This window comes from Homo sapiens, chromosome 3 (assembly GCF_000001405.40).
Source record: "Homo sapiens chromosome 3, GRCh38.p14 Primary Assembly".
NCBI lineage: Eukaryota > Metazoa > Chordata > Mammalia > Primates > Hominidae > Homo > Homo sapiens.
The window spans coordinates 48,238,525-48,263,591 of record NC_000003.12 but is presented as its reverse complement, the minus strand read 5'-3'; the positions used below and the strand labels follow the sequence as shown (position 1 = coordinate 48,263,591).

The 25,067-nt window shown below is 45.0% G+C and overlaps 1 protein-coding gene and 1 pseudogene across 1 annotated transcript in view, besides 4 other annotated features; one reads left to right on the top strand and one right to left on the bottom strand.

Annotated features, from left to right (window-relative positions):
* ZNF589 (zinc finger protein 589) overlaps positions 1 to 22,488 on the bottom strand; it is a 29,887-nt gene extending 7,399 nt beyond the window's left edge. The window contains exons 1-3 of the mRNA NM_016089.3: positions 22,378 to 22,488; positions 15,915 to 15,967; positions 2,653 to 2,779 (exon numbers count right to left, since the gene is read on the bottom strand). Coding sequence (NP_057173.2) covers positions 2,653 to 2,779; positions 15,915 to 15,967; positions 22,378 to 22,420 — 223 coding nt within the window. The 5' untranslated portion in view covers positions 22,421 to 22,488. The remainder of the gene's footprint in view (positions 1 to 2,652; positions 2,780 to 15,914; positions 15,968 to 22,377) is intronic.
* Positions 6,631 to 7,552, top strand: MRPS18AP1 (mitochondrial ribosomal protein S18A pseudogene 1; annotated as a pseudogene).
* Positions 6,722 to 7,292: an enhancer, noted in NCBI's record as "H3K27ac-H3K4me1 hESC enhancer chr3:48297790-48298360 (GRCh37/hg19 assembly coordinates)". NCBI's record gives its function as "activates a minimal SCP1, AML or CMV promoter by ChIP-STARR-seq in primed H9 embryonic stem cells {active_cell/tissue: H9 hESC(primed)}" and the evidence as "EXISTENCE:reporter gene assay evidence [ECO:0000049][PMID:30033119]".
* Positions 21,804 to 22,721: an enhancer, noted in NCBI's record as "NANOG-H3K27ac-H3K4me1 hESC enhancer chr3:48282361-48283278 (GRCh37/hg19 assembly coordinates)". NCBI's record gives its function as "activates a minimal SCP1, AML or CMV promoter by ChIP-STARR-seq in naive and primed H9 embryonic stem cells {active_cell/tissue: H9 hESC(naive and primed)}" and the evidence as "EXISTENCE:reporter gene assay evidence [ECO:0000049][PMID:30033119]".
* Positions 22,319 to 22,613: an enhancer, noted in NCBI's record as "tiled region #9849; HepG2 Activating DNase matched - State 1:Tss, and K562 Activating DNase unmatched - State 1:Tss". NCBI's record gives its function as "activates a minimal TATA promoter and a strong SV40 promoter by Sharpr-MPRA in HepG2 and K562 cells {active_cell/tissue: HepG2 | K562}" and the evidence as "EXISTENCE:reporter gene assay evidence [ECO:0000049][PMID:27701403]".
* Positions 23,039 to 23,333: an enhancer, noted in NCBI's record as "tiled region #8193; HepG2 Activating non-DNase unmatched - State 7:EnhWF, and K562 Activating non-DNase unmatched - State 5:Enh". NCBI's record gives its function as "activates a minimal TATA promoter and a strong SV40 promoter by Sharpr-MPRA in HepG2 cells, with weaker activity in K562 cells {active_cell/tissue: HepG2 | K562}" and the evidence as "EXISTENCE:reporter gene assay evidence [ECO:0000049][PMID:27701403]".

Here is a 25,067-nt window from a genome sequence, read left to right as displayed (position 1 = left end):
GTTTTGTATTTTTAGTAGAGGCAAAGTTACACCATGTTGGCCAGGCTTGTCTTGAACTCCTGACCTCATGATCTGCCCGCCTTGGCCTCCCAAAGTGCTGGGATTACAGGCATGAGCCACCGCACCCAGCTGCAGAATGTTTTAATAATGTAATGCCCTATCCGAAACATAAAAAAGAAAGGAGCCGGGCGTGGCGGCTCACGCCGGTAATCCCAACACTTTGGGAGGCGGAGGCAGGCGGATCATCTGAGGTCAGTAGTTTGAGACCAGCCTGACCAACATGGTGAAATCCTGTCTCCACTAAAAATAAAAAAATTTGCTGGGCGTGGTGGCACGTGCCTGTAATCCCAGCTACTCAGGAGGCTGAGGCAGGAGAATCACTTGAACCAGGGAGGCAGAGGTTGCAGTGAGCTGAGATTGCACCATTGCACTCCAGCCTGGGCAACAAGAGCAAAACTCCGTCTCAAAAAAAAAAAGAAAAAAAGAAAGTAATTTACAATAAAAATATTCATTTCAATATGTAATCTCTTGACAAGGCTACATTATGAGACATACCAGAGCAATCAAGTGCTTACAGGAAGATCATTGTGGACATGATAGCTACAAATGCAGACACACATGGATATGCCTTATTGATGACTACATGTGTTCTAGTGGTGACAGACCTAAGTGTGCTACGCAAGCGGTTACTCAAACACCACAACCAGCACTGCCATGAGTGATGTATTTTTTTTTCATATTGGTGAACACCTCTTGGTAAAGCTCAAAACTATTTTCTCTTGATTTACAACCTACCATGCAAAAATTACGATATTATCTAAAATAGATTTATATTCTAGAGTCAGAACATTACAAACAAATCCGTGGGCTACAGGGAAGAAAAAAAGAAGGAGAGAGAGAAGGAATTGATATAAATTAAGAGAAGTTTTTAGAAGATGGAATGTGTGGATCTCATCTGAATCCTGATTCAAATTTGCAAAAAAACTTTTTTGAGATGATCAGGTAAATTTGAACATGGACTAGGTGTTGGATGATACTGAAGCACTACTGATAACTTTGTGAGTTCTGATCATGATACTGTGGTTATATAAGAAAATGTGAAGCCGGGCACAGTGGCTCATACCTGTAATCCCAGCACTTTGGGAGGCTGAGGCGGGCAGATCACCTGAGGTCAGGAGTTCGAGACCAGACTGGCTAACATGGTGAAACCCCGTTTCTACTAAAAATACAAAAAATTAGCCGGCTGTGGTGATGCGCGCCTGTAATCCCAGCTACTCGGGAGGCTGAGGCAGGAGAATCACTTGAACCCAGAAGGTAAAGGTTGCAGTGAGCCAAGATCGCATCACTGCACTCCAGCTTGGGCAATGAGAATGAAACTCCATCTCAAAAAAAATAAATAAAATAAAATGTCCTTATTTATTGGAGTTGCACTGTGATATAAAGGAGTGGTATGTCATGATATTTGAGATTTGCTTTAAATAATTCAGCAATAAGAGAAAAAGTGATGTAGAGAGAAAGGGAAAGATGGATCAAGGATGAAAACAGTTTAACACCTGAAATGGATACAGTGAGATCCAAAGTTTCAGGGTCAAGATTAATTTGAATCAGATTATTTTAAGGCAATTTTAACATATTCTTCAGAATCAACAAAATGTATGAGCATAAAGATAAAGAGTAACAAGACCAGATGAAACAAGACCAAATCAGATTGGCCAATTGAAAGCTAACTTAAATGGATGAACCTACACTGAAACAGAAATAGGCAACTAGGATTGAAATGAGGCCAATTCAAATTAGATTAAAGCAGTGCAAAATAGGTCTAAGCAGATGCAAAGAGAACAAATCAGAACTATGTAATTCATAGCTATGCCAGATGAAGACAAACCTTGAGAAAGATGCTGAGAGAAATGTGAGGAACTTTGAAAATCTGACTCTCATCAAGAACTCAGGAATATCCAGAATAATTTTGTATTTGCTAACCTAGTAATCAGTTTTAGTTTTTAAATAAGTGAATAAAAACATGATGTATGATATCCAGTAATCTATAAAACATCAAACTGACAGATTTATACCTTAAACGTTAAACATTTCCAACTTCTAGGTCATAGAAGGCATCTCTTACTATTCTCCTCCTTGTTCTCTGTACTCCAACCACCTTGGCCTCCTTGCTTTTCCTCCAAAGGACTAGATATGCTCCTGCCTCCAGGGCCTTGGCACTGCTTTCCCCTTGTCTGGAGCAGTTTCCCACCTGACCCACATATCCAACCTCCTCACCTCCTTCAAGCCTTTGCTCAAATGTACTTCCTCATAGAGGCCTACCTTGATCATGCAATTTAAAAGTTCAGCCAGTTGCCTCCACACCCGGCACTTCAGATCTCCCTTAATCTACTCTACTTATATTTATATATATCTTATACATTTTTTTTTAGCTATGTAGCACTTATTATCCTTTGACATATATAATTTACCTATATATGCTGCTTATTGTATATTGTCAGTCTACCTATACTAGAATATAAGCTCCACGAGAGAAGAAATGCTTTATTATTCTATTCACTGATATGTTCTAAGAGATTAAAACATTGGCTGGCACACTGAATATGGTCAGTAAATACTTGAATGGAAAAATGAAGGAAGAGAACATGTCCTTACCCAATGAGACCAGATTCCTGAGATTTTCCAGCATCACTTCTTTGTATAGGTTCCTCTGCTCAAGGCTCAGTCTCTTCCACTCTGCCTCAGTGAAAAGCACAGCCACATCCTCGAAAGTCACTGGTCCCTAAATCAACCGATAAATTCATATTCATCAAGTCACCATTAAGATTCACAGTGAAAATGGAACTGGTGGTCTTGGAGCATCTAGCTACATAAGAAATTGATCTAGGCCGGGCACGGTGGCTCACACCTGCAATCCTAGCACTTTGGGAGGCCGAGGTGGGAGGTTATCTTGAGGTCAGGAGTTCGAGACCAGACTGGCCAATATGGTGAAACGCTGTCTCCACTAAAAATACAAAAATTAGCTGGGCGTGGTAGCACACGCCTGTAGTCCCAGCTACTTGGGAGGCTGAGGCAGGAGAATCACTTGAACCTGAGAGGCAGAGGTGGCAGTAAACCAAGATCACTCCATTGCACTCCAGCGTGGGTGACAGAGTGAGACTCCGCCTCAAAAAGAAAAAAATGGATCTGCTACTTGGGAGGCTGACATGAGAGGATTGCTTGAGCCCAAGAGTTCAAGACTAGCCTGAGCAACACAGTGAGACCCTGTCTCTATGAAAAATAAACAAAAATTAGCCAAGTATGGTGGTGTGCACCTGTAGTTCCAGCTACCCAGGAGGCTGAGGTAGGAGGATTGCCTGATCCCAGGAGGTCAGGGCTACAGTGAGCTGAGATCGCACCATTGCACTCCAGCCTGGGTGACCAGAGCGAGACCCTGTCTCAAAAAAACATACACCATATGCTTTTTCATCTTCAAGTCTCTTCTCTTCTAAATGAGTATTCAGTGGTGTTCTATCTTTAGTTACACTTGAAAGGTGGCATTGCCCTCAGATACCAAGGGAGTCACCAATCAACTTCTACTGAATTCAAGCATTATTTGCTCAGTGACCAACTGCTTCAGCCTATGGGTATTCCATGACACTCCTAACTTGCCCTAGATTTTTTTTTTTTTTTTTTTGATACGGAGTCTCACTCTGTCACCCAGGCCGAACTGCAGTGGCGTGATCTTGGCTCACTGCAGCCCCTGCCTACCGGGTTCAAGCAATTCTCCTGCCTCAGCCTCCCAAGTAGCTGGGACCACAGGTGCATACCACCACACCTGGCTAATTTTTTTTGTATTTTGTTTTTAGTAGCGATGGGATTTCACCATGTTGGCCAGGCTAGTCTCCAATTCCCGACCTCAAGTGATCTGCCGGCCTCGGACTTGCTTTAGAATTTTAACTTCACTCTGCAGACTTTGGGAACAGTTGCACATTATTCCCAGCTGCCTCTGATTACCCTGAGTACCTCTTCTCTGACTCAGCTTCTTCCTCCTATTCTCAGGTATACATCAATCTTCTTGTCCACCTTCCAAGTGGTCCTTGGCACTCTAGGAGTTGGTAATGTATATTCCAGGTTCTAAAGCTAAACTAATTAAGCTTCTAGCAAATCAAAGATGACAGTAGGGGCTGAAGGAAACACAGTGCAAGGCTACCAAGCCAGAGCTTCCTAGCATCCTCCCCTGAGAGCTGGACTATAAAAGAGATTTAATAAAACCCAGCACAGAAGTGCAGAAGCAGTAGAGAATAATAATGATGCTGAGCTAAGAGTAGGAAACTAGGTGTAGATACTGAAATCCTTGAGTGTGTGAGAAGTTTTGGGAGGGATGTCACATCTATAGCCAGCAGCCCAGGCAGTCAGGCCGCGTGGCACAGTGTACGAGGGAGGACAAAAAGTCTAGACAGCAGGCCAGGACCCAGGATTAGGCAGCCAAGGCCTGAGCGGGCAGTGGTGTGGGCTGCTGTCCCTTACATGCTTTCCATGACCTGCTGCTTCAGGCACATCCTGGTTCTCATATTCTCAGTGATCTTTCCCCTTTTCTTTTTATACCCCAGGTCTCATAATTTCTCTTGTTCAAGCCTTGTGTCTCTCATGTTCCAATATCCTCTCCATTTCTCTCTTGACTCCTCTTCCCCCTCTAGTTTTTCCACTGAAACATAAAACAACAGGCTCAGCTACAATGGAAGCTAGGCTTTTTGCTCAGTGGATGTAGTAGGAGCCCAATCTATGGAGTCAGACCGCACAAGTCCAAATCCCAGCTTTGCCACTTATACAATACATGACCTTTGGAAGCTTACATAACCTCTCTGTGTCTTAGTTTCCACATCTATAAAATGGGCTTGATAATGACACCTACTGTCTTAATAAAGATAAAGCACTGACATCAATGCCTCACATGCAGTAAACACTTGCTATTACAATTTGCTATAACTAAGCAATAGAATGTTTTATATTTAAGTGAAAACTGATTTTTAAAATAAGTAAATAATTTTTGGTTCTCAAAAAGTAATCAAACATTCTGTCCAGTACAAGGCAAGAAGAGGAAGTAAAAAGCACAGAGACTGGTAAGGAAGAGATAAAATTACCCCTATTTGCCAAGGACACGGTTTTCTATGTAGGAAATGCAAAGGAATCTATAAAAATGATCATATAACTAATAAGTGAGTCCAGGAGGACTGAAAGATACAAGATGAACACATAAAAATCCATCGTATTCATATAGATTAACAACGACCATGTGGAAACTGAAATTAAAAACATACCATTTACAATCACTCCCGCAAAAAAGAGGTGCCTAACATAACTCCAGCAAAACAACTATAACATCTGTACACTGAAAACTACAAAATGCCAATGGAAAAAAAAATCAAAGATCTAGATAAATGGGGAGGCAAAGCACGTTCATGGGTTGGAAGGCTCAACATAGTAAAGATGTCAATCTTCCCCAAAATGATCTATAGATTTAACACAATTCCCATCAAAATCCCAACCAGATTTTTTTGTAGATATAGACAACTTATCCTAATATATATGATAAGGCAAAGAAACTAGAAGAACAAAGTAAGAGAGATCACGCTACCTGATATTAAACTTACTATTTGATCACCACAATACTTGAGACAGGGTATCTATGGAAGAATAGACACACAGATCAATAGAAGAGAACCGAAAACCCAGAAAGAGATCAACACAAATACCCCAAAGTGGATTTTTGTAAAAGTAATTCAATGAAGAATAGACTTTGCAACAAATGGCACTGGACCAACTGGATATTCACAGACAAAAAAATTAACCTCAACCTAAAACCTCACACTTTATTAAAAACAAAAAACAAAAAAAATCAAAATGAATCACGAATTTAAATATAAAAATACTAGAAAAAATACAGGAGAAGATCTATATTGGGACCTAGTGCTTGGCAAAGAGTTCTTAGACATGACACCAAAACCACAATCCATTAAAAAAAATAATAATAAACCAGACTTCACCAAAATTAAAACTTTTTTCGGTGGCTCACGTCTGTAATCCTAGCACTTTGGGAGGCTGAGGCAGGCAGATCACCTGAGGTCAGGAGTTAGAGACCAGTCTGGCCAACATGGTGAAATCCCGTCTCTACTAAAAATGCAAAAATTAGCTGGGTGTGGTGGCACACGCCTGTAATTCCAGCTACTCGGGAGGCTGAGGCAGGAGAATCGCTTGAACCCAGGAGGCAGGGGTTGCAGTGAGCCAAGATCATGCCACTGCACTCCAGCCTGGGAGACAGAGCAAGACTCTGTCTCAAAACAAAAAACAAAAAACAAAACAAAAACAAAAACAAAAACTTTTTACTATAGAAGACCCCCATCTCTTCCAGAACACAAAGCAGAGGGAACATTTCCTAACCCATCCTATGAATCCAGCATTATCCTAATAGCAAATCTAGATAAAGACATTAGAAATTAAAACTACAGATCAATATATCTCACAGAGATACAATACCCCCTCCCAAAATATAAGAAAATCAAATCCAGAAATGCCCAAGAAGAATTACATACCACACTTGGGTTTATTATAGTTCTGCAAAGCTGGTTCAACATTTGAAAATCAATCATTGTGGAGGTCAGGGTTGGTTTTTCAAGATGGCGGCCTTTGAGGCTCTGGTGTCTGGCTGTGGGCAGCTTCCGTGTGGGCTCCTAGCAGGCCCAGCAGTGACCAGCTGGTCTCAGCTTCCAGCTCGTGGTTTCAGGGAAGTGGTGGAAATCCAAGAAGGAAAGACAACTATAATTGAAGGCCGTATCACAGCGACTCCCAAGGAGAGTCCAAATCCTCCTAACCCCTCTGGCCAGTGCCCCATCTGCCACTGGAACCTGAACCACAAGTAAAACTATGATGATGTTTTGCTGCTTAGCCAGTTCATCCAGCCCCATGGAGGCATGCTGCCCCGAAAGATCACAGGCCTATGACGGGAAGAGAACTGCAAGATTGAGGGGTGTGTGAAGATGGCCTACCGAGCAGGTCTGTTACCAAATCACAGGCCTCAGCTTCCTGAAGGAGTTGTTCCAAAGGGCAAACCCCAATTCAACCAGTACCTGACCCACTGGGGTCCCCGCACCCTCATGCCCATCTACAAAAAAAGGCCTCCCCTGGAACAGGGCGTTCATGGCCTTGGGGTCAACCCTCCTGAGGGACAATGTCTGCTACTCAAGGACACCTTGGAAGCTGTATCACTCACAGACAGAAGAGCTTCCAGAGTTCCTCCTGCACCTGCGCTGTGGAGTAGGAGGCGTACTCACAAGCCCTGGGCCACAACTATACTCCTGCCCCACCCCACCATGACGGCCTGGCCCCTCTGACATGTATGGACAGGGGACAGTGGGATGAACTTCAGTACCCTTGGCCTCCCCAGTAGCAATGCTGGGAGCTAGAGGCAGGCAGGGCAGTTGGGTCCCTTGGCAATTGCTGTGGGGCTTGGGCCATACTCAGTGCTGGGGACAGGAGTTTTGCCCAGTGGAATGTCATAAACTAGGCTCATGGGCTTGAAAAAAAAAAGAAAAGAAAATCAATCATTGTAATCCACCATGTTAACAGGCTAAAGAAACAAAATCATATGATCATATCATTTGATACAGAAAATACAAAACCCAACATCTAGTGATTATAAAAATTCTTAGCTGCCAGGCGTGGTGGCTTGTGCCTGTAATCCCAACAGTTTGGGAGGTCAAGGCAGGAGGATTGCTTGAGCCCAGGAGTTTGAGACCAGCCTGGGCAACATGGCAAGACCCCGTCTCTGGCCAGGCATGGTGGCTCTTGCCTATAATCACAGCACTTTGGGGGGCTAAGGCAGGCAGATCACCTGAGGTTACAAGTTCGGGACCAGCCAACGTGGCAAAACCATGTCTGTACTGAAAACACAAAAGCTAGCCAGGCGTGGTTGGTAGCACCTGTAATACCGGCTACTCGGGAGGCTGAGGCAGGAGAATCACTTGAACCCGGGAGGCGGAGGTTGCGGTGAGCCAAGATCGCACTACTGCACTCCAGCCTGGAGAAAGAGCGAGACTTTGTCTCAAAAAAAAAAAAAAAAAAAAAAAAAGTAAAAACTCTTGGCCAGGCATGGTGGCTCACGCCTGTAATATCAGCACTTTGGGAGGCCAAGGTAGGCAGATCACTTGAGGTCAGGAGCTTGAGACCAGCCTGGCCAACATGGTGAAACCCCGTCTCCACTAAAAATACAAAAATTAGCTGGGCGTGGTGGCGCACACCTGTAATCCCAGCTACTTGGGAGGCTGAGGCACAAGAATCACTTGAACCCAAGAGGCAGAAGTTGCAATGCACCAAGATGGCGCTGCTGCACTCCAGCCTGACAGGTAGAGTGAGACTGTCTTAAAAAAAAAAAAAAAAGAAGTAATAGCTCTCAGCAAACTAGAAATACAGCAGAACTTCCTCAATTGACAAAGAACATCTACAAAAAACCTACAACAAATATCCTACTTTATAGCAAGAAACTAGATGTTTTTCCTAGATAACTGGAAACAAGGCAAGGATGTCTTCTCTCACCACTCCTGTTCAACATTGTACTGAAAGTCCTAGCTATTGCAATGAGACAAGAAAAAGAAAATGTACACATATTTGAAAAGAAGTAAAGCTGTCTTTGTTCACAGATGACATGACTGTCTACATAGGAAATTCCAGAGAATCTACAAAAAGAAATAAAAAAAAAAAACCTTGGAACTAATAAGCAAACATAGAAAGGTTGCAGGATATAAGATCATCTGCTTTCCTATATGTCAACTGCTTTCCTATATACCAGCAATGAACAATTAGAATTTTAAATTTTACACACACACATACACACAGAGCACCAAAAAAATTAAATACTTAGGTTCAACTCTAACAAAACATGTACATAGTCTACATGTGAAAAACTACAAACAATGATGAAAGAAATCAAAGATGATCTAAACAAATGGTAAGACAGTCTATCTTCATGGATAGTTAGACTCAGTATTATGATATCAGCTCTTCCGATCTCAATGTATAGATTCAATGCAAACCCAGTCAAAAACTCAGCAAGCTATTTTGTACCTATCGAGAAACTGATTGTAGAGTTTACATGGAAAGACAAAAGACCTGGAATAGCTAACAAAATACTGAAGAATAAAGTTGAAGGATTCATATTACCCAATTCCAAGACTTATTATAAAGCTACATTTATCAAGACAGTGTGGTATGGGCAAAAACAAAGGCAAGTAGATCAGTGGAACAGAATAGAGTCCAGAAATGACCGACACAAACATCGACTGATTTTTTGTTTAGTTTTTTTTTTGAGACAGAGTTTCACTCGTTGCCCAGGCTGGAGTGCAATGGCACGATCTCAGCTCACCGCAACCTCCACTTCCTGGGTTCAAGCAATTCTCCTGCCTCAGCCTCCCAAGTAGCTGGGATTACAGGCATGAGCCACCACGCCCAGCTTGTTTTGTTTGTTTTTTAAGAGATAAGGTCTCGCTCTGTCACCCAGGCTGGAGTACAGTGGCATAATAATAGCTCAATGTAGCCTTAAACTCCTGAGCTCAAGTGATCCTCCCACGGCAGCCTCCCAAGTAGCTAGGATACAGGTACATGCCACCAATCCCAGCAAATTTCTTAATTTTTTATAGAGATGGGTTCTTGCTGTGTTGCTCAGACTAGTCTTGAACTCCTGGGCTCAAGCAATCCTCTCACTTGAGGAAAACATCAAACAAATCCCAAGTAAGGGACAATCTACAAAATATCTGACTAGCGCCGGGCACGGTGGCTCACGCCTGTAATCCCAGCACTTTGGGAGGCCGAGGTGGGTGGATCACGAGGTCAGGAGATCGAGACCATCCTGGCTAACACGGTGAAACCCCGTCTCTACTAAAAATACAAAAAAAAATTAGCCTAGCGTGGTGGCAGCCGCCTGTAGTCCCAGCTACTCGGGAGGCTGAGACAGGAGAATGGCGTGGACCCGGGAGGCAGAGCTTGCAGCGAGCCGAGATGGTGCCACTGCACTCCAGCCTGGGCGACAGAGCGAGACTCCGTCTCAAAAAAAAAAAAAAAAAAAGAAAAATATGACTAGTACTACCTTGGAGACGTGACAACTAAGTGTAACATGATAACCTGGATGGGATTTTGGGACAGAAAATGGTCATTAAAACTAAAGAAATCTGAATAAAGTTGGACTTTAGTTAATAACCACCATTATTATTGGTTCATTAATACTAACGGTGATGGCCGGGCATGGTGGCCCACACCTGTAGTCCAAGCACTTTGGGAAGCCAAGGCAGGTGGATCACTTGAGGTCAGAAATTTGGGACCAGCCTGGCCAACGTGGCAAAAGCCCATCTACTAAAAATACAAAAAATAGCTATGTGTAGTGGTGCACGCCTGTAATCCCAGCTACTCAGGAGGCTGAGGCAAGAGAATCACTTGAACCTAGGAAGTAGAGGCTGCAGTGAGCTGAGATTGCACCACTGCACTCCAGCCTGGGAAACAGAGGGATCTTCTGTCTCAAAAAATAAAAATAAAAAACGCCCAGATTATTAAGATAAAGATCTACATAAATGAGGAAAAAATTGTCTAAATAAATGGAGAGATACTGCGCTGATGGACCAGAAAACTCAATAATGTTAAGATATTATTCTCATGGCTGGGCGCAGTGGCTCACGCCTGTAATCCCAGCACTCTGGGAGGCGTGTGGATCACGAGGTCAGGAGATTGAGACCATCCTGGATAACATGGTGAAACCCCGTCTCCACTAAAAATATAAAAAATTAGCCGGGCAAGGTGGCAGTGGCCTGTAGTCCCAGCTACTTGGGAGGCTGAGGCAAGAGAATGGCGTGAACCCCAGGGGGCGGAGCCTGCAGTGAGCCGAGATCCTGCCACTGCACTCCAGCCTGGGCGACAGCGAGACTCCGTTTCAAAAAAAAAAAAAAAAAAAAAAAAGATATTATTCTCCCCCAAACTAATATAAAAATTCAAAGCAATTCAATCAAAATCCCATTGTACAAATTGATAAGACTTTCAATTTCAAATTGATAGATTTCAATATTTATATAAAAATGCAAAAGACAGCTGGGCATGGTGGCTCATGCCTGTAATCCCAGCACTTTGGGAGGCCGAGGCGGGTGGATCACAAGGTCAGGAGATCGAGACCATCCTGGCTAACACGGTGAAACCCCATCTCTACTAAAAATACAAAAAATTAGCCGTGCATGGCAGCCTGTGCCTGTAGTTCCAGCTACTAGGGAGGCTGAGGCAGGAGAATCGCTTGAACCCAGGAGGTGGAGGTTGCAGTGAGCCAAGATTATGCCACTGCACTTTAGCCTGGGAGACAGAGCGAGAATCTGTCTCAAAAAAAAAATAATAATAATAATAAAATTTAAGGACTTACACTACCTGATTTTAAGACTCACCATAAAGCTACTACATTAGTGAGGAGCACAATACAAATGTGAGAAGAGTTCAATGGAGCAGAACAGAGCACCGAGAAAACAGACCCACAATTGATTTTTCTTTTTTTTTGAGACAGGGTCTCACTCCATCACCCAGGCTGGAGTGCAGTGGTGTGAACATGGCTCACTGCAGCCTCAACCTCCCAGGCTCAAGAGATCCTCCTACCTCAGCCTCCCACATAGCTGGGACTACAGGTGAGTAACTCCAGCTAATTTTTTTGTACTTTTCGTAAAGATGAGGTTTCGCCACGTTGCCCAGGCTGGTCTCGAACTCCTGGGCTCAAGCGATCCACCTGCCTTGACCTCCCAGAGTGCTAGGATTACAGGTATGAGCCACTGTGCCTGGCCCCACAATTGATTTTTAACAAAAGTATCAAAGGAATTCAATGAAGGAAGGAAAGTCTTTTCAAAAAAACAGTGTTGGAAGAACTGAACGCCCAAATTTAAAAATAAAGAACGCCAATCCCTATCTCATACCACACCAAAAAAAAACTAAAAATCACCGCAACTTAAAGGTGATCTTAAATTAAACAGTTTCTTTTTTTTTTTGAGATGGAGTTTCACTCTGTTGCCCAGGCTGGAGTACATTGGTGCAATCTCAGCTCACTGCAACCTCTGCCTCCCAGGTTCAAGTGATTCTCCTGCCTCAGCCTCCCAAGTAGCTGGGATTACAGGTACGCATCGCCACGCCCAGCTAATTTTTTTTTTTTTTGAGATGGAGTCTTGCTCTGTCACCCAGGCTAGAGTGCAGTGGTGTGATCTCAGCTCACTGCAACCTCCGCCTCCCAGGTTCAAGTGATTCTCCTGTCTCAGCCTCCCGAGTAGCTGGAACTACAGTTGCGTGCTGAGATTTTCCAGCATCACTTCTTTGTATAGGTTCCTCTGCTCAAGGCTCAGTCTCTTCCACTCTGCCTCAATGAAAAGCACAGCCACATCCTCAAAAGTCACTGGTCCCTAAATCAACCGATAAATTCATATTCATCAAGTCACCATTAAGATTCACAGGGAGAATGGAACTGGTGGTCTTGGAGAATCTAGCTACATAAGAAATTGATCTAGGCCGGGCACGGTGGCTCACACCTGCAATCCCAGCACTTTGGGAGGCCGAGGTGGGAGGTTACCTTGAGGTCAGGAACTTGAGACCAGCCTGGCCAACATGGTGAAACCCCGTCTCCACTAAAAACACAAAAATTTCATATTTAAAAAACCATTTTATAGTTTTAACAAACATCATCAAAATTTTAAAACTCTTGCTCATCAAAAGACGTTAAGAAAACGAATAGGCAGGCTCTAGGCTAGAACAAAATATTCACAAAACAAATATAAGACAAAAGACGGGGCAGGTGTGGTGGCTCACGCCTGTAATCCCAGCACTTCGGGAGGCCGAGGAGGGCGGATCACCTGAGGTCAGGAGTTCGAGACCAGCCTGGCCAACACGATGAAACCAAGTCTCTAATAAAAATACAAAAATTAGCCAGGCGTGGTGTCGCATGCTTGTAATCCCAGCTTCTCAGGAGGCTGAAGCAGGAGAATCACTTGAACCCAGGAGACGGAGATTGCAGTGAGCCAAGATCGTATCACTGTACTCCAGCGTGGGCAACAGAGGGAGATTCTGTCTCAAAAAAAAAAAAAGTTGTTCTCAAAGAAGCAGAGAGTAGGCCAAGTGCAATGGATCACACATGTAATCCCAGCACTTTGAGAGTCCAAGAGGGGAGGACTGCTTGAGTCCAGGAGTTTGAGACCAGCCTGGGCAACATAGTGAGACCCGTCTCTATTTAATTAAAAAAAAAAAAAAAAAAAAAGAAAGTAGAGAGTAAAATAGTAGTTACCAGAGGTTGGAGAGGAGAGGGGAGAGGAAAGCAGGAGAGAGATTCGTCAACAGATACAGAACCACATTATACAGGATGAATAAGTTCTGGCATTCTATTGCAAAGTAGGAAGCTTAGAGTTAACAATAATAAATTGTATTTTTTTTTTTTTTGAAATGGAGTCTTGCTCTGTCACCTGGGCTGGAGTGCAGTGGCTCGATCTCGGCTCACTGCAACCTCCACCTCCCAAGCTCAAGTAATTCTCCTGCCTCAGCCTCCTGAGTAACTGGGATTATAGGCACCCGCCACCACACACAGCTAATTTTTGTATTTTTAGTAGTGATGGGTTTTCACCATGTTGGCCAGGTTGGTCTCGAACTACTGACCTCAGGTGATTCGCCCATCTTGGCCTCCCAAAGTGCTGGCATTACAGGTATGAGCCACTGTTCCCAGCCAGAATTGTATATTTCAAAATAGCTAGAAAAGAGGCTTTTGGATGTTCTCATCACAAAGAAACGATAAATGTTTAAGGTGATGGATATGCTAATTACCCCGATTTGATCATTACGCAAGGTATACATGTGTGAAAACATCACATTGTACCCCATAAAAAGGTACAAACATTATATGTCAATCATAAATTGTTTTAAATGTGTCAAAACTTTGAACAGACACATCAAAAAAAGGAAGCTATGTGAATGCCTAACGAATAGCTATAGAAGTGCTGAACTCAAAAGGTAAACTCAAAATTTGTGCATTTCACTGTATGTACATTTTACCTCAGAAAAAAATCAGAAACGATATTGAATTCTACTTAATAATATGCATGCTGAAGTATTCAGAGGTGAAATGTATTGAGATCTGCAACTTACTCTGAAGCGCATGAAAACATAAGATGGGCCGGGCGCAGTGGCTCATGCCTATAATCCCAGCACTGTGGGAGGCCGAGGCAGGCAGATCACCTGAGGTCAGGAGTTCGAGACCAGCCTGGCTAACATGGTGAAACCCTGTTTCTACTAAAAATACAAAAATTAGCTGTGTGTGGTGGTGCGTGCCTGTAATCCCAGCTACTCAGGAGGCTGAGGCAGGAGAATCGCTTGAATCCAGGAGGCGGAGGTTGCAGTGAGCCGAGATCATGCCATTGCACTCCAGCCTGGGCGACAAGAGCGAAACTCTGTCTCAAAAAAAAAAAAGAAAAAAAAAGGTTGGGGCAGAGAAGGGAATACGGGAAAATAAAGGATAAAGGCAGCTGCTTCCCTGATAATGAAGTAATTTGCTCCCAAGTCACCCTCATCTGTATCAATCAAGCTTGGCCCCTATGGCCTGGAAGCTGCCCTAGAGACTGGTACAAAACCTCCTGAGAAGAATGGTGTGCCTACTATGTCTCCTATACTCTATCCCTTCATGAAGCTACGCGAATTTAATGCAGGGTTAAAGTACATTGCATACCATGAATTTGATTATCAATCCAAACCTAAGACCATTCTTTGTGGCTGTGCATTGTTTTAACAGCTACAGGCTAACACTTAGTCTTTCCCTGTACTATTTTACAGTTTTAGCTGTCTTCATCATAATTATTACCAGTGTCATTATTTCCTGTCTCTATGCATCATTTCCTAAAGAATCTTGGATCTTTGAGAATAAGGACAGTGAATTTAACAACTCTATTTGGCTAGCTCCCAGAATCTCACACAGTCCTGTGCCCAGAAACCAATAAATTAAATTTCTGGTATAGCAAAGATCACAGGGGTTGGGGGAGAGGGATATGCAACATCAGAACAAGGGGGTGAACTCTATGAGGCTCTTCATCCAAAACATAACCCCATTTCGTAGAGTTGGAAAGTGTGTTCTTTTATCATTGGGTAGTTTTCTAGGAGAAAAAAACAGTCAAGAAGGCATCACAGAAAATTCATGGTTTGAGATCAGAGAAATCTGGATTTAATTCCTGACTCTACCATTTGGCCATCCACGTGTCCCTGTGCATAAATCACGTAATCCCTCTAAGCCAGATGATCTCATCTCGAAAATGGGGATGTCACCACCCATCTCCTACAGCTGTTAATGATTTAAACACAGGACTGAAATATTTATGGATTAAATGGTATGATGCCTTGGATTTTCTTTAATCCAGTGGGAATGGAGATGAAATAAAATTGGCCATGAGTTGATAACTGCTGAAGTGGGATGATGGATACAGAAGAGTTAACTCTTTTTCTACTTTTGCATCTTTGTTTTCTAAAACAAAATGTGAAAAAGAGGTCCAATGTACAAGATCAGACTATTAGATACTATTAAAGTGTTATAACTATTTGTGCAAATGTTGATGTAGGGAACTTTAATAGTGCATTTTAGGATCTTAATAACCCAAGGTTTTTATAAAAAGTTACCATTATATTTTAGAATACTCTGAATTAAAATTAAACTTGGTCATGTTTTTGTATAAGCTCAAAAAATAGAAAGACTAAGTGCAAAAACCATTATAATAAGCCTAGAACAATGGCTAACACAAGGCATAAACCACTTAAATGTTAATCACTTCCTCCCTTCCCAAGAAAGACAGATGAGCCCATTCTCTGAGAAATGAGCCAGCATTTCAGAAAAGAGAAGGGCGGGCCCAACTCACCAGATATCTAGGCTTCTCTTCCCAGGGCCAGGCAGAATCCTTGGCAGGCAGAGCTGGGGAAAGAAAGAAGCAACCTTGAGAAGCCAGCCCTACCAGGCCCATCATGAGGATCCCCAAGAGCCCTCTGAGCCTTGGCTGTGGCCACCTGAGCCTTCTCAGCTGACCCAGACCCTGAGCTCCTCTCACCTCCTGCCTTATGCTTGAGTCAACTTCTCTATGCTCTGCACCACTTCCCTATTACATTTTTACAGAAACACTGATCTTAATTAAATGTAGTAAGGTAAACTCTAAGCACTCATCATCTTTCTACCCTAAAAATTAGCAAAACTGTTGAGACAAGGCATCATTTCCCCCCATGTGTTATGTGACTCTAGTTACATGTTTTTTTTTAATTTATGAAAATGGACCGAGCACAGTGGCACACGCCTATAATACCAGAACTTTGGGAGGCCGAGGCAGGCAGATGACTTGAGGTCAGGAGTTTGAGGCCAGTCTGACCAACATGACAAAGAAACCCCAACTCCACTAAAAATAAAAAAATTAGCCAGGCATGGTAGTGCACGCCTATAATCCCAGCTACTCAGGAGGCTGTGGCAGGAGAATCGCTTGAACCCAGGGGGCGAAGGTTGCAGTGAGCAGAGATCACGCCACTGCACTCCAGCTTGGGCAACAGCAAAACTCCATCTCGAAAATAGTTTATGAAAATGTTAGGCCAGGCGCGGTGGCTCACGCCTGTAATCCTAGCACTTTGGGAGGCCGAGGCAGGCCGATCACAAGGTCAGGAGATCGAGACCATCCTGACTAACACAGTGAAACCCCATCTCTACTGAAAATACAAAAAATTAGCTGGGTGTGGTGGCGGGCACCTGTAGTCCCAGCTACTCAGGAGGCTGAGGCAGGAGAATGGCATGAACCCGGGAGGCAGAGCTTGCAGTGTGCCGAGATCGCACCACTGCACTCCGGCCTGGGCGACAGAGCGAGACTCCGTCTCAAGAAAAAAAAAAGAAAATGTTAAACACAGAAACAGAAGTCTGTGATTTAATGAAAATATTTTTTAAAAATGTGTCAGGCCGGTTTCAGTGGCTCACGCCTGTAATCCTAACACTTTGGGAGGCTGAGGTGGGAGGATCACTTGAATCCACGGCTTCAAGACCAGCCTGGGTGACAATGAGACCCACATCTCTAATAATAAAAATAATAATTATTATATTGTTTTAAAAACTTGTCAATGTTATTCCTTATTTTACAAAAGAGCATGAGTAAAAGGAGAAAAAAGTATTAAAGACCATTACAACAGCATTTCTAAAGCGCAGCTTGTCAGACTCTCATTCCTCTTCAAATTATTGTGGAACTGATTGATTGATTGATTGATTGAGATAGGGTCTCACTATTGCCCAGGCTGGAATGCAGTGGCACAATCTCTGCTCATTACAACCTCCACCTCCTGGGCTCAAGTGATCCTCCCACCTCAACTTCCCTGGGATTACAGGCATGCACCACCATGCCCAGCTAATTTTTGTATTTTTTGTAGAGATGGGGGTTTCACCATGCTGGCTAGGCTGGTCTCGAACTCCCGACCTTAAGTGATCTGCCCACATTGGCCTCTCAAAGTGCTGGGATTATAGGCATGACCCACGACGCCTGGCCTATTGTGGAATTTTAAAAGGTAAGATTTTAACATCTCTGGAGGGAAGCTCAAGCTTTCCCTGCCATATCTGTTTTTTTTTTTTTGAGACAGAGTCTCACTCTGTCACCCAGGCTGAAGGTCAATGGCACGATCTCAGCTCACTGCAACCTCCGCCTCCTGGGTTCAAGCAATTCTCCTGCATCAGCCTCCCAAGTAGCTGGGATTACAGGCACCTGCCACCATGCCTGGCTAATTTTCGTATTTTTGGTAGAGACAGGGTTTCACCATGTTGGCCAGGCTGGTCTCGAACTCCTGACCTCAGGTGATCTGCCTGCCTCGGCCTCCCAAATGCTGGGATTACAGGCGTGAGCCACCGCGCCCAGCCTTCTCTTCCATATCTTTGCTGAGGGGAAAGAAGAATGTTTTTCTGATCCTTGGGTGTCACTGATTCTGAAAGTTCAGAAAAGGAACTGGGATGTCATATTTCTAACCTGTGACCTGTGCCTTTGTAGAAGGGACAGAGTCTGGGGAAGGGAGTGCCTCTCAGGGGGACGAGGGTCTTAGCAGCAGTCTGAAGCTTCCTCCTTGACACCCTTTATTCCAGGCATATGTGTTTATAAGATACATAGAAGCTGGCCAGGCTCTGCACGGTGCCTCATGCCTGTAATCCCAGCACGTTAGGTGGCCGAGGTGGGCTGATTGCTTGAGCCCAGAAGTTCAAGATCAACCTGGGCAATGGTGAACCCCATCTCTACAAAAAATAAAAAAATTAGCCGGGCGTGGTGGTGTACACCTGTAGCCCCAGCTACTTGGGAGGCTGAAGTGGCAGGATCATTTGAGCCCCAGAGGCAAAGGTTGCAATGAAGTGAGAGATCACACCATTATACTCCAGCCTCAGTGACAGAGCCGGGGAAACCCTGTCTCTGAAAAGATACATATAAGCTTATAATGGCTGGGCGTGGCTCAAGCCCATAATCCCAGCACTTCGGGAGGCCAAGGTGGGCGGTAAGTAGTTCGAGACCAGCCTGGCCAACATGGTGAAACCCCATCTCTACCAAAAACGCAAAAATTAGCCAGGTGTGGTGGCGCATGCCTGTAATCCCAGCTTCTCGGGAGGCTGAGGCAGGAGAATCACTTGAACCCGGGAGGCGGAGGTTCCAGTGGGCTGAGATGGTGCCACTGCACTCCAGCCTGGGCAACAAGAGTAAAAAACTCCATCTCAAAGAAAAAAAAAAAAAAAGCTTATAATTCGTCCCATCTATTTTTGAGCTCCCCAGAGTAATAGTGCAGTTACTGTGGGGAATTAGGCTAAGGGTAGCCTTGTCCTTGGGTTTGCAAGAAAAAAAAAAAGGCCCTAAATGTGATAATGACATCACCCCTGCTGAAATCATCACCCCTGGAAAACACTCTAAACAGACCCCAGCAACAACTCTGGCTTTTGTACTAAGTGATGAGAATGTGTCAAGTGATTTCATAAAGACATATATACAATTTCTCCTCTTGCATGCCCTAGAAAACCATCATCCTGGCCCCATAATATGTGCCTATACTATGTATCTATCCAGAACTGCACATTTTTGTGTAAATGGAGCAGCATTTTAAAATTAAAAATATATATATAAAATTATAGTCTTGTTTGATAACTGTCTGGGGTAATTTTCCAAGTTACTGTTTTCCTGACTAAACTCAGGAGGAAAACAAAGCAATCTTACTATTTCAAGTTCTAAAGTTTTAGAAGAAGAAAAACTGAGTACCATTATTTGGCCACTCCCAGTGGCTACATCTGAGCAAAGCACAAGGCAAGGAGGCAGCTCCTCAGTCTTTTCAGCAAAAAAGACCATCTAAGCCTCTCCCTTCCAGAGGGACAGGTGGTTCTGATCCCACTGAGCAGGTGGGAAAAAAATGAGGGACACAGAGTAACCTCACACAGCTGAACTAAGGGATCCTACCTCCTGAGTCCTGACTCTGCCCTGACTCCTTAGGTGCCTCTCCCCAGCATGAGACCACTCACAGGCAAATCCTTCAGAGAGGCAAATAAGTCCTCCAAAAAGGGAACAGGTGCTGAATCACAGGCACACTCCAGGACCTCACGATGTGCCTCCGCCCATGTTGGACACATCTGGGAAGCACTTAAGCAAGTCAAAGAACCTTTCTAGCTCTGTGACCACAAAACATCTTCTTTGCCACTCATGACAAGAGGGAAAAGTTATTATCCTTCTAAAGTTCAACTTAGTGTTACTGCCTTTTTTTTTTTTTTTGAGACAGACTTTCACTCTTGGTGCCCAGGCTAGAATACAGTGGCGCGATCTAAGCTCACTGCAACCTCCACCTCCTGCCTCAGCCTTCTGAGTAGCTGGGATTACAAGCGCGCACCACCAAGCCCAGCTATTTTTGTATTTTTAGTAGAGATAGAGGTTCACTATGTTGGCCAGGCTGGTCTCGAACTCCTGACCTCAGGTGATCTACCCGCCTCAGCCTCCCAAAGTGCTGTGATTACAAACGTGAGTCACCGCGCCCGGTCCATTGTCTTTACTTTCTTTAGCTTTGCTATCCAATTGAACTGGTCTTGGCACAGTAGGCAGAGACAAAGCCCACCACCCTCAAAGAGTGGATGGAAGGAGGCACAAGGGCTCCCACACAGGACAAACAGCTACATGCTGAACAATGGCTTGGCAAACTACACACAAGCCAAATCCAGCCTGCCACCTGTTGTTATACCACCCAAAGGCTAAGAATAGTCTTTACTTCAGAAAAAAAAAATTTTAACACAAAGATGAAGTCTCACTATGTTGCCCAGGCTGGTCTCAAACTTCTGGGCTCAAGTGATCCTAGCCTCAGCCTTCCAAAGTGCTGGGATTACAGGCGTGAGCCACCATGCTGGGCCAGTTTTTACATTTTTAATTGGCTGAAAAAAAAATCAGAAACAGAATATTTCATAATAATGAAAATTATATATGAAATTCAAATTTCCTTTTTTTTTTTTAGAGTCTCATTCTGTTACCCAAGCTGGAGTGCAGTCATGCGATCTCGGCTCACTGAAACCTCTGCCTCCAAGGTTCAAGCAATTCTTGCGCCTCAGCCTCAGAGTAGCTGGGATTACAGGTGTACGGCACCACACCCAGCTTATTTTATTTTATTTTATTTTTAAAGTAGAGATGGGGTGTTGCCATGTTGACCAGGCTGGTCTTGAACTCCTGGGCTCAAGAGATCCTCCTGCCTTGGCCTCCCAAAGTGCTGGGATTACAGGCGTGAGCCACTGCACTCAGCCAAAATTCAAATTTCAATGTCTATAAAGAAAGTTTTATTGGAACACGGCAATGCTCATTCGTTTACCTATGGTCTTTGGCTGCTTTCACACAACAGCAGACCACTAGTCGTAACAAAGACCGTGTGGCCTACAAAGCCTGAAACATTTACCACCTGGCCCTTAAAAGAAAACGTTTGCAAGACCAGGTGCAGTGGCTCACGCCTATAATCCTAGCACTTTGGGAGACCGAGGCGGGAGGATCCCTTGAGCCCAGGAGTTGGAGACCAGCCTGGGCAACATAGGGAGACCCTGTTTCTAAAAAAACCAAACAGAAAAAAATTTGCCCAGCCCTGTTCTAGACTGTTCCTGTTGTTACATCCAAAGTCATTTGGGGCCGGGTGTGGTAGCTCCCACCTGTAATCCCAACACTTTGGGAGGCCGAGGCAGGTGGATCATCTGGGGTCAGGAGTTCAAGACCGGCCTGGCCAACATGATGAAACCCCGCCTCTACTAAAAATACAAAAAAATAGCCGGGCGTGGTGGCGTGTCCCTGTAATTCCAGCCGCTTGGTAGGCTGAGGCAGGAGAATCGCTGGAACCTGGGAGAAAGAGGTTGCAGTGAGCAGAGATCGCCCACTGCACTCCAGCCTGGGCTACAGAGCAAGACTCTGTCTCCAAAAAAAAAGTCTTTTGGGCCGGGTGGGGTGGCTAACACCTGTAATCCCAACATTGTGGGAGGCCAAGGTGGGTGGATTGCTTGAGGCCAGGAGTTCGAGACCAGCCTGGCAAATATGGCGAAATCCCCTCTCTACTAAAAATACAACAGCCGGGGTGGTGAGGCGCCGCCTGTAATCCCAGCTACTCCGGAAGCTGAGGCACGAGAATCACTTGAGCCTGGGAAAGCGGAGGCTGCAGTGAGCCTAGATCCCGCCACTGCACTCCGGACCGACTCAAAAAATATAAAAATATAATATACTCCGGGCGCGGTGGCTCACGCCTGTAATCCCAGCACTTTGGGAGGCCGAGGTGGGCGGATCACGAGGTCTGGAGTTCAAAACCAGCCTGGCCAACATGGTGAAATCCCCGTCTCTACTAAAAATACAAAAATTAGCCAGGCGTGGTGGAGGGCGCCTGTAATCCCAGCTGCTCGGCAGGCTGAGGCAGAGAACTGCTTGAACCCGGGAGACGGAGATTGCAGTGAACGGAGATCGCGCCACTGCACTCCAGCCTGGGCGACAGAGCGAGACTCCGTCTCAAAATAAATATGATATAATATAATAATACAAAATGCTGTTCTTCAGTTGCACTCCACACATCTCAAATGCTCAGCAGCCATTTATGGCCAATGACTGCCGGAGTGCACAAGTGCAGGATGCCCGGTGAAGAGTCGTGGAGTGAGCACCGTGGAGACTGTACGGGACACCTAGGGAGGAACCTGGCCCCCCAGGGGAGTAAGAGCCGCTGTAGGGGTAGTCAGCGCCTCACACAGCTCGCACCCCACGCGCATCCCTGGTGGATACGGCCGACGCCTGCGCGGCGCCTGCGGCTGGAGCACCGAATGGGGGAGGCGATCTCGCGGCCCCGACTCACCTTCCGCAGTCCAGCCCAGTAGCTGCTCCCGCGGGGCCCACATCTGCGCGCGCACGCACGCACGAAGCAAACGAGGTAGCAGCACCGTGTGTGAAACGGATTAGAATGCGCACCGCGGGCCACTGGCGGCGCCAGAAGAAAGAAGCAGGACTGGGTGAAGTGCGTCACCGCGCGGCGCGCAGCCTGCCGGGAAGCGTAGTTCTCGGGGCGAAATGCGGCTTGTGCAGGGCGAGAGAAAATGCTGAGGCGCACTTTGACCTTCTAGGTCCCCCTCGGCCGCAATATTTGGGGTTGTGCTTACCACAGGTACCCATAAGCAAAATATAGTGTTGTTTTCCATGGTTGTAAACATTATATAAATACACTTACAATGCCTGCTACTAGCTCTTTTGCGCAGTTCTATAATGACACGTGTTGACCTGTTCATTGTGTGTTCACTGCTGTGTGGTATCTAATGTAGAAATACACCAGGACTCCAATTGGACAGACTCATGCGCATCCATGGAGAGCTTCTCAAGGACAGTGGTTCGCAAACTTGTTGTTGTTAAAATCCTTTTACACTCTTAAAAATTACTGAGGACCCCAAAGAGCTTTTGAAACCGCCTTTGCAAAATTATACCTAAGGAAATTATGATGTTATAGGAGTTATTAAGAAATTATTTTAAGCAGATAGAGAAGGAAAGGGGTCCTTGGGAAGTTTTTGTTTCTTTTAAAGCAGCTCCAGAAAGGTTTCTTGTCTAGCAGGAAAGCCTGGGCTCCTAGAGCAGGATGGCAAGCTTTGATATGGAAATACAGGCCATTAGAAACTGGACGCACCCAAACATGGCGATTCCCGCCGTCCTTTTCTTTGCCCTGACATGTGCCTGGCAACATGGCCACCCCCCACATATTCCCACGTGTGTAGAACTTCATGGAGCCCTACATTTGCATATTAAAAAGCTAGGGTGGGAGGGCCAGGTTTTTGGCTGCCACATAAATGACACATCTGATCAAACTAATCCCCTGAGCCCTATGGAAACCAGACACCGCCTCCTCCAGCATCCTCAGATAAGCAGCCACTTTTCCGCACACGGCGCTTTCTCTTTGTTGGAATCCCCGCTCCCTCTGTCTCTGTATGGGGGAGCTGTTTTCGTCTTCCTTCCTTCTTTCTTGCCTATTAAACTTTTCGCTCCTTAAAACCACTCCACGTGTGTCTGTGTTATTAAGCCTATCAGAGACCAAGGACCCTGGTGTTCCTCCAGTCATCAGAGCCTTATCAATGACAGTAAAAGATATCAGATCTAACCCACCTCATCTTCCTTTCAACCTCTAAACTGTCTTTGTCCACTTCTGGGCATAGGCCAAAGTAGCCTTGGGAAGGAATTCAGTTTATAGCTTAAATAATAGCCCTTCCCAAGGGCTAAACTGTTCTTGTAAAATGAATGAAAGGCCACCAGCCACCAAATTAGGATGAGAAGGGCTGGAATTCTAAATATTACCAGCCATTATTCCAGAGGCCCTAAGACGCACAACTTCCCCAATTACTCTTTTGAAGCACAACTTCCCCAATTACTCTTTTTTTTTTTTTAGGGAAAAGAACACGGAGTCTCACTCTGTCTACCATGCTGGAGTGCAGTGGTGCCATCTCGGCTCACTGCAACCTCCCTCTCCTGGGTTCAAGCGATTCTCCTGCCTCAACCTCCTGAGTAGCCGGGATTACAAGCACGCACCACCATACCCCGCTAATATTTTTGGATTCTTTTTTTTTTTGGTTGGTTTTTTTTTTTTTTTTTTTTTTTTTTTTGAGACGGAGTCTCGCTCTGTCGCCCAGGCCGGACTGCGGACTGCAGTGGCGCAATCTCGGCTCACTGCAAGCTCCGCTTCCCGGGTTCACGCCATTCTCCTGCCTCAGCCTCCCCAGTAGCTGGGACTACAGGCGCCCGCCACCGCGCCCGGCTAATTTTTTGTATTTTTAGTAGAGACGGGGTTTCACCTTGTTAGCCAGGATGGTCTCGATCTCCTGACCTCATGATCCACCCGCCTCGGCCTCCCAAAGTGCTGGGATTACAGGCGTGAGCCACCGCGCCCGGCCAAGGTTGGTTTTTTTTTTTTTTTTTTTTTGAGCCCAGGCTGGAGTGCAATGGTGCGATCTCGGCTCACTGCAACCTCCTCCTCCCGAGTTCAAGCAATTATCCTGCCTCGGCCTCCGGAGTAACTGGAATTACAGGCATGCGCCACCACGCCCGGCTAATTTTGTATTTTTAGTAAGGACGGGGTTTCTCCATGTTGGTCAGGCTGGTCTCAAACTCCTGACCTAGGTGAGCCGCCCACCTTGGCCTCCCAAAGTGGTAGGATTCCAGGCGTGAGCCACCACGCCCAGCCCTCAATTACTCTTAAAGATAACATCACTATTGTGAACCTAAGATTGGCCTTTTGAGATGTCTTTTCAGATTTTTGCATTTCTGACAACTGAACGGCCCCAGCTGGACCTGCCAACCAGTTTTGTGGCCACCACCTAGGAACTGACTCAGCCTAAGAGAACAGCTTCAACTCCTTATGATTTCATCCCGAGCCAACCAATCAGCACCCTGATTCACTGGCCCCCTTCCCACCAAATTATCCTTAAAAATTTTGATCTCTGAGTTTTTGAGGAAACTGATTTGAGTAATAATAAAACTCTGGTCTTCCGCACAGCCGGCTCTGCATGAATT